At 39.6% G+C, this 13,532-nt stretch overlaps 1 long non-coding RNA gene across 2 annotated transcripts in view, besides 1 other annotated feature; it reads right to left on the reverse strand.

Moving 5' to 3' along the window:
• The window catches only part of LOC102723445 (uncharacterized), a 45,370-nt gene that overhangs the window by 19,853 nt on the left and 11,985 nt on the right, over window positions 1–13,532 (reverse strand). The gene's annotated exons all lie outside the window — the stretch shown is intronic.
• Window positions 222–391: an enhancer, noted in NCBI's record as "experimental_89797 CRE fragment used in MPRA reporter constructs". NCBI's record gives its function as "activates a minimal promoter by MPRAs in K562 erythroleukemia cells, with activity observed for the introgressed 6:131426291 variant allele {active_cell/tissue: K562}" and the evidence as "EXISTENCE:reporter gene assay evidence [ECO:0000049][PMID:34662402]".

Raw genomic sequence — 13,532 nt, forward strand, 5'->3', positions numbered from 1 at the left:
AGGGTTGTAGAACACATCTACATGCTGAGAGGGAGGCACACCCCAATTCCACGGGGACAGAAGTTCCTGTGCTCAGGACTCTTCAAGATCTCTCCCTGTGTATCTCCTCAGCTGCCTGTTCATTTCTCTCCTTTAGTAATTAGCAGTGATAATAAATAAAGTCTTTTCCCAAGTTTTATCAACCATTCTAGCAAATTATAAAACCTGAGGAAGGGGTCATAGGAACCTGTGATTAATAGTCAGTTGGTCAGAAGTACTGATGGAAGCAAGATACTTGCAACTGGCATCTGAAACGAAGGCAGTTTTGTGGGAGTGAGTCTGCGGAATCTGACACGACTCCAGTTAGTTACTGTAGGAATTGAATTCAATTGTAGGATACCCAGTTGGTATCTGGAAGGTTGGAGAACTGGTTGTTGGCATGGAAACAACCCACACATTTGGTGCCAAAAGTATTATGAGTAAAAACAGCTTGGAATATTAAACTGACCCTCAAAGGAAAAAAAAAGCCAATAAAAGGATGCTATCTTGCCAGGACCTTCCAAGGAGCCTCAGAATTGTCTGTTAAGGGAAGGAAAAGGGGAACATTTGATTGACTCACTATCTCCTGTCCCAACCAGGCAAGGGGACTGTCCATGGGGCACTGATTCCCTCACACTTCCAGTGTGCACTCGCTTGAATGCCAGGTAGGTCTCTGCAGACATCCCACCTTATGCTATCCCAGGATAGGATAGTCCCAGGATAAAACATGAGAGTTAAACAGTTCAACTGGACCGAGCTCGATGGCTCACGCCTGTAATCCCAACACTTTGGGAGGTTGAGGTGGGAGGATCACTTGAGGCCAGGAGTTCAAGACCAAGCTGGGCAACATAGCGAGACCCTGTCTCTACAAAACAACAACAACAACAAAAACAAAAACAAACAAACAAACAAGAAAACCCAAAAACTAACTGGATGTGGTGGTGGTGCACGCTTGCAGTCTTAGCTACTCTGGAGGCTGAGGTGGGAGGATTGCTTGAGCCCAGGAGGCTGAGGTTGCAGACAGCCATGGTGGCACCATTGCCCTCCAGCCTGGGCAAGAGAGTGAGACCCTGTCTCAAAAATAAAAAGCAATAATAAATAAATAAATAAAACTGAGGAAAGTTGTTCTTGGGTGATAAGACATGAAGCTGTTTCCAACAGGAGTAATAACTAAACTAAAGACAGGCAAAAGGATGTGAGGCCAGGCACAGGAGATGGTCAACGTGGGGAGCTTCTAGAGACTCCAATCAGGTCTGTGAGTTCCAGTCCCCACTCCTAGCTCTAGTCACAGTCTTCACTTGAACACCCTACCTCCATTCTAAACCTTGATGGCTAGAGTTTGATTTTATTAAGAGAGCTTATCAAGAGGTTTCTTGTAATATACCATTTCTCCTTTGTCTACCATACTTTCTGCAAGTAACACATAGTTTTGGAAATTCAGGTCAGTTATTTAAAAAACAAAAATAGTAGCTAAGTACAGAGGGTTGTGTGGGAAGCACTTCAACTTCCAGACAACATAAGGCTAAGCGCTGTGACACATTTGAAAATAAGTCCTTATTTTTTATCTTTTAGAATGCAGTCATTTGGAGTCCTTCTCTACCGATGGCTGAAATTACTCATCTAAGGAGAGCCAAATCTGCTCCATCCAGAAATGAAACCCACATAACACTTTATCATCTTTCAGACTCTTGACATTAACATATTTTAAATATTTACCTTTTAGTTTTATATTTATTTTGACATTTTATTATATTGCCTGCATGTCCTTTCTGTTCATCTACAACTATATTTTCTTTTTTCCTTAGATCAGGGATTAGCAAATGATGATCCACTGCCTTGTTTTTGTATGATTTGCAAGATGAGAATGGTTTTCACATTTTAAGTGGTTTCTAGAATGTCAAAAAAGTAATATTTTGTGTTACATGAAAACTATGTGAAATTCAAATTTAAGCCCATCAGTAAAGTTTCATGGGAACATGGCCATGTTCATTCATTCACATACTTTGTATGGTTGCTTTTGCACTGCAAGGGAGATTTAAGTCATTGCAACAAAGACCATATGGCCCTAAAATCCTAAAATGTTCACAATCTGGCCCTTCACAGAAAAGTTTGCTGACCCCTGCCCTGAATGACAAAAGGATGCTTGTTTAGTTTCCTTCATGTATTACCTAGCCTTAGGGTTCCAGGCACTTGAAACTGCTTTCTAATGAAGATAATAATTCATATGTGTCACTAGAATTGGTTTTGACAAGGCCACTCAAAATCTATTAGATAGGAAATGGTTTTACTAAAGTTGTTTTATAATCTACAAATCAAGTACATAGTGTATGTAAAATAAATGTTTATCAGATAAATTAATGAGTGAATAACTCTGGCAAATCTGGTAGTGTGTGACCTCAGCAAGAAGCCAAGGAAAAGCATACTTGTTTCTGCCTCACATTTGCACAGAGCTTGATGACACATACTTCAAAAAGCATATTCTTATCTGAGATTACAAAGTCTTTCACAATGACTGTATAGGAGATAAAGTGGAGGGAAAAACACCCTCTTCCTAGAGGGAGTATCATAGAATAACAGAACTGGAAGGGAAACATTTCATGCAGCTGCTGACTTTAAGCAGGACTACGCTGGAATCATTCCCAAAAGATAAGTTTGCTCTTTAATAGTAATAATTAGGCCAGGTGCAGTGGCTCATGCCTGTAATCCCAGCACTTTGGGAGGCTGAGGTGGGTGGATCATCTGAGGTCAGGGGTTCAAGACTAGCCTGGCCAACATGGTAAAGCCCCCGTTCTACTAAAAATACAAAAATTAGCTGGGCGTGGTGGTGTGCACCTGTAGTCCCAGCTACTTGGGAGGCTGAGGCAGGAGAATAGCTTGAACCCCAGGAGGTGGAGGTTGCAGTGAGCCGAGATCATGACACTGCACTCCAGCCTGGGTGACAGAGTGAGACTCCATCTCAAAAAACAAAACAAAACAAAACAAACAAACAAAAACTTAATAATTATCCAGAGACACAACTTCCTGGGCTTAGATATTTCAGAATATCACAACTAAACTCTTAAAAATTTCTGAAGGCTGGACACCGTGGCTCACACCTATAATCCCAGCACTTTGGGAGGCTGAGGCAGGTAGATTGCCTGAGCTCAGGAGTTCAAAACCAGCCTGGGCAACATGGCGTAACCTCGTCTCTACAAAAAATGCAAACATTTGCTGGGCTTGGTGATGTGTGCCTGCAGTCCCAGCTACTTGGGAGGCTGAGGCAGGAGAATCGCTAGAACCCATGAGGTGTAGGCTGCAGTGAGTCATGTTTGCACCACTGCAGTCCAGCCTGGGTGACAGTGTGTATTAGTTTGTTTTCATGCTGCTGATAAAGACATACCTGAAACTGGGAACAGAAAGAGGTCTAATTGGACTTACAGTTCCACATGACTGGGGAGGCCTCAGAATCACGGTGAGAGGTGAAAGGCACTTCTTACATTGGCAACAAGAGAAAAATGAGGAAGAAGCAAAAGCAGAAACCCCTGATAAGCCCATCAGATCTCATGAGACTTATTCACTATCACAAGAATAGCACAGGAAAAATCAGCCCCCATGATTCAATTACCTCCCACTAAGTCCCTCCTACAACGTGTCGGAATTCTGGGAGATACAACTCGAATTGAGATTTCAGTGGGGACACAGCCAAACCATATCAGAGCGAGACCCCATCTCAAAAGAAAGAAAGAAAGAAAGAAAGAAAGAAAAAAGAAAGAAAGAAAGAAAGAAAGAAAGAAAGAAAGAAAGAAAAAAGTTCTTCTTGCTCTTCAGCTTAATTCTTCATGCAGTAGTATAAGAATACTTTTAAAACCATTCATTCAATAACTTTATACACAGCATTTGCCTTAAAGTTTGATAGTTATGTCTCCTTTCTCCTAGTCATCTTATTCTCAGTTTGAGGGGTAGTGTTTGACATATTTTTGTATGTTTAAAAGTTACCACCATCACTACTATCCCCAGTACTCACTAGAATGGGAATTAATACATTGTGATAGTAAGAATATTAAACTTTGTTTAATCCATTTAGGCTGCTATAACTAAATACAATAAACTGACCTATTTATAACTGAGTACATAACTGGGTACTGTAAATAACAGTTGGTTTTTTTTTTTCTCACAGTCTAGAGGTAGGGAGTCCAAGATCAAGGTGCTGGCAGATTCAGTGGGTGTCTGGTGAGAGCCTGCTTTCTCATAGATGGCACCTAATCACCTCTCAAAGACACCAACTCTTAATACTATCACATTGGACATCAGGTTTCAACACATGAATTTTTGGGAGACACAAACATTCAGACCATATTAGACTTGGGGTCTGATGTGGTTTGGCTCTGTGTCCCCACTCAAATCTCATCTCGCATGGTAATCCCTACATGTGGAGGGAGGTGTACCTGGTGGGAGGTGTTTGGATCACGGGGGCAGTTTCCCCCATGCTGTTCTCAAGATAGTGAAGGAGTTATCACGAGATCTGATGGTTTTAAAGGTGACAGTTTTTTCTGCACTCACTCTCCTGCTGCCTTCTGAAGAAGGTGACTGCTTCCCCTTCTGCCATGATCATAAGTTTCCTGAGGCTTCTCCAGCCATGGGGAACTGTGAGTCAATGAAAATTCTTTCTTCATAAATTACCCAGTCTCAGATATTATTTTTATAGCAGTGTGAGAACGGACTAATACAGAGTCTAAAAGTCAAGATATGAGTTCTGGCTTGAGATGGTGCCTGCCATCTAATGGATGCTTGGTGAGTATTAGTAACTTTTGGTCTTGTTTTCTGTGAACCTGGATGATTTACTGACTATTTCTGAACTTCATCTATGACATGTGAGAAGAAAATACTTTCTGAGTTGATATGGATATCAAATGATGTTTCTGAAAATGCTCACTAACCTAGGAAGCATTATATAATTTCAAATTATTGTGACAAAATAAGAATTCAAAAATACAAGAAAAGTGTCTGCAAATGGCAATATAAATTAAAAGGTCAGTCAATTATCTTTGGCCCCTGTCCTCTCCCTGCCCACCACTAGATTTAAGAGAGAGAAGATCCTTACTCTTGACTCAATAAACACAGAGCTTGGAGTCTATGCTGGAGGCCAGCCTGTTTCATTCAGGTCAATATGTAACTTCAGCAGGAACCAGGGACCCCCAGTTAATTCCAAATGAGGATTCTGACTGAGCTGGAAAGTGCACTGGAGCTTTTTAAAACAGGTGCACAGAAATTTTATTTTTCTAAAAATGTGCTTTATTAGAAGTGATGATTTATTATGTCAATCATATATTACAAATTACTTTGCCCAATGATATAAGCAAAACACATAGATTTTTCTAAACAGGCTTATTTGATCAGAGGTTAAGAGAACAGCCCAGCTCTGGCTGTTTTATACTAGAATATAAAGACCTAGGGGGAAAACCCACTTAAATAGGTATTAATTATTGCAAATCTCTCAAAAAAAAAAGCACTTGGTTTTAACCATTATTAATACATTTTAGCCCATGTTTTTCATAAAGGGGCCATGGTTTTGTTTTAGATTTAAATTTAAGACTTTGTTTTATTTCTGTTTATCTTGAGTTTGAGGGCAATATTTTGGCTGGTCTGTAAAGGTTTTTGTCCCAACTACTCAATATGCTATGGTAGGGTGAAAGCAGCCACGAACAATATGTAAATGAATGGGCATGGCTGTGTTCCAAAGAAACTTTACTTACAAAACAAATGTCCAGTCTGCAGACTCTAGTCTTCTGACTCCCATTCTATACCAATAAGTAAAGATCACAGGAGCCCCTTACATTTACACAGAAGTGTAAGCAGTACACAATAGTCCTGTCTCAGAGCTATGCCAAGTCTCTAGCTCTCAGTCTTAATCTAGCCCTTAGGAACTTTGATAGTCCTGTCATCCTGTAGGGCTTCACACTGGCCCACTACATTAGTGACATAATGATGACTGGACCAAGTGAGAGGAATTCACATTCTTATATATATATATATTTCACACATATATATTTATATGTGTGATAGAAGGTGGAAAATAATCTCCCAACAAACTTCAGGGCCTGCCAACTTGGTAAACTGTCTAGGAATCTAATGGTTCGAGACATGTCAAGATGTTATCTCAGGGAAAAACTAAATTTCTGCAACTTGCATCCCCTATCAATAAGAACAACCCCAAACTCATGCTATATACAGTCTCAAAAAATTACCTGACTACCCTTGAGGGAAATAAGTCATATATGATTTGTTGGTACTCAGCACTATTTCTATTTCCTTTGATACTCACCCCTTCATGTCAGGGGCTGATGAATGAGAACTGTCTTTTCATAGTCCCTGTAAACCAAATACAGTTTAGATTCTGCCCATGAGGTGTACTTGTGCTTAAATTACAAGGCAGAAGACAGAATCCATTCCTCTTTCTTCAATTGTGTTGGTTGACATGTGGACTTAAGAAGATGTAACTATTTTTTTTGGGGGGGGGACAGGGTCTCACTCCATCACCCAGACTGGAGTGCAGTGGGACCACCATAGCTCACTGTGGACTCGACCTCCTAACCTCAAGCAATCGTACCACCTCAAGCCTCCCAAATTGCTGGGATTACAGATGTGAGCCATTGTACCCCGCCCGAAGTTGTGACTTTTTGCAGCAACTTCTATATTCCCTTGTGTCGTTCACCCCAGGACTTCAGGGCAATCATGACTATTGATTTCAGTCTCTTACATCCTCCTGACTTCTGCATGAAAGCAAGAAGTTTCAGATTCTTTGGACTGTGAATGTGAAAGCTGGTGGCAGCTCCTCCGACTTTCATTCCTTATGCCCTTGCAAAAATTTATAAGTACAGTACCTATACCTAATTCTCTGTAAATTAAAGCCTTTTATCTTTAAATATTTAAATTGACTTCCATTTTTCCGGCTGAGACTTGACTGCTTGCAAGAATGAGAAAATTCATTTTTGCATTTTTTATAATATTTAATATTTCTTGATGAAATGCAATAGGATAAATGGCTACATATTTTTAATACCATATTCTAATCATTTTATTTATCATAAAGCCCTTCATGACATCATTATATTTCTTATAATGGCACAGATCATTCCTGTTTGTGTCTAAACCTCAAGCAAACTAGTCCTCCTAAAGGATTAGTACACAGTATTAGCACTCACTACCATCTGGCTGTCTGTTACAAAGATATAAACAAGATATTAGTTGAGATAAACAATTCTTGTTGTTTTAATATCATACACAATTTGATTCTATGTCCTGGGGCCACTTGGGCATCATCTTTCGGTAAATAACCTCAGGAGTTTAGACAATAGTAAAATGTTGTAAAATAATTAGAAAGTGATATGTTTGCATATTTATTACATTTTTTAAATTAACAGCTTATGGAGATACAATTCATACACCACACAGATCATCCATTTAAAGTATACAGTTCAATAGTTTTTAGAATATTTATATAGAGTTTTGCAGCCATCACCACAATCTAATTTCAGAACATTTTCATCATTCCAAAGATAAAACCCCATAACCCTTAGCAGCCACACCCCTCTCCCAGCCCTAGGCAAACACCTATCTACTTTCTGTCCCTGTGGATTTGCTATACTGGACATTTCTAATTTCCCCACACCCTTGCCAGCATTTTTTATTGTCTGTCTTTTAAAATTATAGCCAACCTAGTGCCTGCCACTCGGTGTTCAAGTGATTCTCCTGCCTCAACCCCCTGAGTACCTGGGACTACAAGTGCATGTCATCATGCTGAGCTAATTTTTGTATTTTTAGTAGAGACGGGGTTTCACCATGCAGGCTGGTCTCGAACTTCTGATGTCAGGTTATCTGCCTGCCTCAGCCTCCCAAAATGTTGGGACTACAAGCATGAGCCACTGTACCCAAAATCCTTTATCTGTTTTTTAATCGGATTTTGTATTATTATTGAATTATAGGAGGTTTTTATATACATCCTGGATATACGTTTCTATCAGATATAAAAGGGGACTTCAAAAAGTTCGTGGAGCCGGGCACAGTGGCTCACGCCTGTAATCCCAGCACTTTCGGAGGCCGAGGCGGGCAGATCACAAGGTCAGGAGATCGAGACCATCTTGGCTAACATGGTGAAACTCCGTCTCTACTAAAAATACAAAAATTTGCCGGGCATGGTGGTGAGTGCCTGTAGTCCCAGCTACTCGGGAGGCTGAGGCAGAATGGTGTGAACCCGGGAGGTGGAGCTTGCAGTGAGCTGAGATCGCGCCACTGCACTCCAGCTTGGGTGACAAAGCAAGACTCCGTCTCAAAAAAAATAAAAATAAAAAGTTCGTGGAAAAATGGAATTAAAAGATAAAAATGATAAATATAAACATTATTTCTCAACATCAGCTCCATCAAAGTCAAGACACTTTTGGAAGCCAAAACACCAGCCACTTATTTAGTCCATCTCTAAATAATTGAGATTCCTGAGAATTTAACTATGTCAATGTAGTTTTTCTTACATTATTAACTGAAGAAAAATGGATGCCTTTTAAAGGCTTTTTTGTTTTGCTTTGTTTAGTTATAGAGACAGGGTCTCACGCTGTTACCCAGGCTGGAGTGCAGTGGTACAATCTTAGCTCTCTGTAATCTCAACCTCCTGGGCTCCAGTAATCCTCTTACCTCAGCCTCCAGAGTAGCTGGGACTATAGGTGTGTGCTACAACACCTAGCTAATTTTATTATTTTTTTTTTTTGAGACGGAGTCTCACTCTGTTGCTCAGGCTAGAGTGCAGTGGTGTGATCTGGGCTCACTGCAACCTCTGCCTCCCAGGTTCAAGGAATTCTCCTGCCTCAGCCTCCTGAGTAGCTGGGATTACAGGTCGCTGACACCACCCCCAGCTAAATTTTTTTTTGTATTTTTAGTAGAGACGGGGTTTCACCATGTTGGCCAGGCTGGTCTTGAACTCCTGACCTCAAGTGATCCGCCCATCTTGGCCTCCTAAAGTGCTGGGATTATAGGTGTAAGCCACTGAACTCAGACAAGTTTTATCTGTAAAATTTAGACTGGGTAAAAACAGCATAAAGACGTACAACTAATAAAAGCCAGTAGGAGATTGTCCGGGTGTGGTGGCTTACGCCTGTAATCCCAGCACTTTGGGAGGCTGAGACGGGTGGATCACTTGAGGTCAGGGGTTCGAGACCAGCCTGGACAATATGGTGAAACCCCATCTCTCCTAAAAACACAAAAAACAAAAAAAATAGCCAGGTGTGGTGGCAGGCACATGTAATCCCAGCTACTCAGGGGGCTGAGGCAGGAGAATCGCTTGAACCCAGGAGGCAGAGATTGCAGTGAGCCAAGATTGCGCACTGCACTCCAGCCTGGGTGACAGAGGGAGGCTCCGTCTCAAAAAAAAAAAAAAAAAAAAATTGTTTTTGTAGCAATGAGTTCTCACCATGTTGCCCAAGTTGGTCTCAAGCTCCTGGCCTCAAACAATGCTTCCACTCGGGCTTCCAAAGCACTTTGATTATAGGCATGAGCCACTGAGCCCTCAACTTTAATTTTTCAATCAGGAGCATGTAAGCTGAACCAATTGAGATGCCTATGGTATTGATATTGTTTCTGCTGTTATTTGTCAATCCTCTTCAGATAGGGCAAGAGCAAGATTAATTTTTTTCCTTGAAAATTGATGTGATGGTCTCCCACTGTAGGCTTTTTCTTTAAAATTGTCTCATCCCTTCTTAAACCAAGTTATCCATTTGTAAACTGCTGATTTCTTTGGGAAATTGTTCTCGTTAACTTTTTGTAAATCATTAATGATTTCACCATTCTCTCACCAAAATTTCACCATAAATTTGATGTTTATTCTTGCTTCAATTTTAGCAGAAGTCATATTGCTCTGATAGAAGCTCTTTTCAAACTGATGTCTTAGCCTTCTTAGTGTCCCAATGTAGATCCTCTTCAGATATTTTATAACAAGTTAGTATGAGTTTATTTTGGTGCAAAAACAACTTGAAATCCATGCATAATGTTTTCATAATATGCATTTTCCATGAACTTTTTGAAGGCCCTTGTATGATTTGCAAATATTTTCTCCCATTATATCGGCTGTACTTTCACTTTCTTGATAGTGTCCTTTGAAGCATGAAACTTTTAAATTTTGATTTATGTATTTATTTTAGTTTTAGTTATATTTTTTTGAGATGGAGTTTTGCTTTTGTTGCCTAGGCTGGAGTGCAATGGCGCAATCTCGGCTCACTGCAATCTCCACCTCCTGGGTTCAGGCGATTCTCCTGCTTCAGCCTCCTGAGTAGCTGGGATTACAGGCATGCGCCACCATACCGAGCTAATTTTTGTATTTTTAGTAGAGGTGGGGTTTCTCCATGTTGGTCAGGCTGGTCTCGAACTCCCGACCTGAAGTAATCTGCCCACCTCAGCCTCCCAAAGTGCTGGGATTATAGGCATGAGCCATTGCGCCCGGCCTATTTAATTTTTCTTTTGTGGTTTGCACTTTTGATGTCATGTCGTATTTAAAAAATCATTGCCTAATCCAAAGCAGAGAGATTAACTCCTATGTTTTCTTCTAAGAGTTTTATAGTTACCATTGTTTTAAATATAATTTATTTGATTATGTCTCCCTAATTTAATTTTTAATAATAGCTGGACTTAATAACCAGCACTCAAGATTCCTGAAAGTTTAAAAGTTGACTCTTGCAATCTGGTATAAGCCAGCTCTAGCACACCACTGAAGGTGTATTGTGCTGGGTGGGCCTGGAAGAAAGACAAACTAAACCTCTGACACTGGGACTGATAGGGACGAGGAAGAAGCTGCTAGTCACTCACCCATGAAGGTAGAGTTGCCCAGTGGAATCTAATCCTGATCTGAAAACTGATCTTCCTAAAAGAAACTAAAAAACTAATCTAAGGCTAATCCCATGTGGAATCTTAGGTGTGTTTCCAGAAACTGTAGTTAAGACACACCAGTTTGAATGGGATTCCTGAGGACTAACTCAGAAGACATGCTGAGGTATTGAGGTAGTGGTGGTGGCAGCATTAGATTAATACACTGTAGAACTCCCCAAGAATTTAGGTCACAGGGAACTAGATTCTAGCCTCAGAGAAAGAGCACTGGTAGGAAATTAATGTGGTACCATGCCCAAGTCATTAGATTGAGCTTAGAGCAAGGTCTTGTACTCTGTCACTGGAGAGATCACCAGTTTTTGCAGAGTATGAAAGCAAAGACACACGATACTAACTACTCTGGAATAGACCCACGTACTGTTGTGGAACACTGTAACTTCAAGGAGACACCAAGAATACCAGAAGGCAGATTCAGCAGGAATGGATTGAAGGATATCTAGTTCTGATGGAATAGCATTTGAGATACTCTGAATGGCCCCACTCCCAATACCTTCTCTCCTACTGGCCGCCTGAAAAAACCTCCAAGTACTGAATATACTATATAAATAATATGTTAAATGCTTTTATATAGCAGGCAAAACTGTAAGGAATCTATGGAAACAACAACAAAGAAAAAAAGAAAAGAAAAGACTCCTGAAAGGTAAATGATTTCTGAGGCACGTTTTCACCCTAAGGGTCAACCTAAGGGACCTTGAATTTACATTTTGAGAAATGGTATGCAGAGGATAACAGATCGGCCTATGGTGAGGAATCTAATAGGTGATCCCTGCATAGAGCTAAGTTTCTAATGGCAACACTCTCAGTATACAAGTGAGCAAGAAATATGTCTATCTAAAGAAGAAGACATTGAAAACTTGCCTCTCTCAACTTTTGCCCTGGGAGAAGAGGAAAAAAAATTCTCTGAGAATTCATAAACTCAACCAAGTGCTTATGTGGGTCTAAAGCCAGATTCAAGCTAGTGATGCATAGCGCTGCAAAATTTAGCAAATAAAAATAGAGCATCCGTAGTTAAACTTGAATTCAGATAAACAATGAATACTTTTTAGTATAAGTATGTCCCAAATATTGCACAAAAAATAATTTCTTGTTTATTTGAAATGTAAACATAACTGGATGCCCTGTATTCTATTTGGCAACCCTACCAATGTAGTATGAAACGCCAAGTAAGGAATTTAAGTTGTTCCAGGTTAATAGTGCCCCCTGGTGACACAAATAAAACGATATTCTTTTTGGAGGAATGCAACTTCAAACCAGGCTTCAAAGAATTTCCTCAGATAAAGATCGAATACAAGCTCACAATGAAAAAAAAAAAACACAAAACATATAAGAAATAAAGGTAATGTAAGTATGAACCAGAAAGAAAGCCAGAAAGGTTATTATAATAAAATATGCAAAGATTTCAGATATTAGAATGATCAAATATAGACTAGAAAATAATGTGGTTAGTATGTTTAAAGAAGTAAAAACCTGCAAACAGGAACAATAGACTAGAAAAAATTCAAGTAGATTTGAAAAAGAACCAAATGGATGGCCTAGGAATGAAAAATATAATACCTGAAGTTCAAAATTCAAAAGCTGGAGAAATAGCATATTAGACAAAGCTGAAGAAAGGATTAGTGAACTGGAGGAAACATTTAATGGGCTTGTTTAAAATTACGCTCAGAGAAACAAAGAGTTGGAAAATACAGTAGTCCCCCTTTATCTGAGGGGAATATGTTCTAAGACCCCCCAGTGGAAGCCTGAAACTGCAAATAGTACTAAATCTTACATATATAAGACTGTTTTTTCCTATACATATGTACCTATGATAAAGTTTAATTTATAAATTGGGCACAGTAAGAGATTAACACCAATAACTAAAAATAAAACAGAACAATTGTAACAATATACTATAATAAAAATTATGTGAATGTGGTCTTTCCCTCTCTTTCAAAATATCTTTTTTTTCTTGGTTTTTGAGACAGAATCTCACTCTGTTGCCCAGGCTGGAGTGCAGTGGCACAATCTGGGCTCACTGCAACTTCTGCCTCTAGGGTTCAAGTGATTCTCATGCCTCAGCCTCCCAAGTAGCTGGGATTATAGGCATATGCCACCACACCCAGCTAATTTTTGTGTTTTTGGTAGAGAAAAGATTTCACTATGTTGGCCAGGCTGGTCTTGAACTCCTTACCTCAAGTGATGCGCCTGCCTCAACCTCCCAAAGTGCTGGGATTACAGGTGTGAGCCATCACACCTCGCCTCTTTCAAAATATTAAGATATATTGTACTGTTCTGTGAGTAACTGAACATGGAAAGTGAAACCACAGAGAAGGGGGAACTATTGTATAGAGAGTCTAAAGGGAATTGAGGACAAAGTCAGACTTCGTAACATAATTAGAGTTCTGGAAGAAGGAAAGAAAAAGATTATGGGGAAATAGACAATAATAAAATAGCAAATGGGTGCTTTTTCTAAACTTTTGAGAGATACCAGTTTTCAGAATCAGGAAGCCCAATGTTTTCAAGCAGAATAAGTAAAATAAATTCATGCTTAGATTGCTAAAACTATAAAGCTCCAAAGATAAAGAGATGATTTTTAACAATTGTCAGAGAGAAGAGAGATTATAACAGCATAT

This window comes from Homo sapiens, chromosome 6 (assembly GCF_000001405.40).
Source record: "Homo sapiens chromosome 6, GRCh38.p14 Primary Assembly".
Classification (NCBI taxonomy): Eukaryota; Metazoa; Chordata; class Mammalia; order Primates; family Hominidae; genus Homo; species Homo sapiens.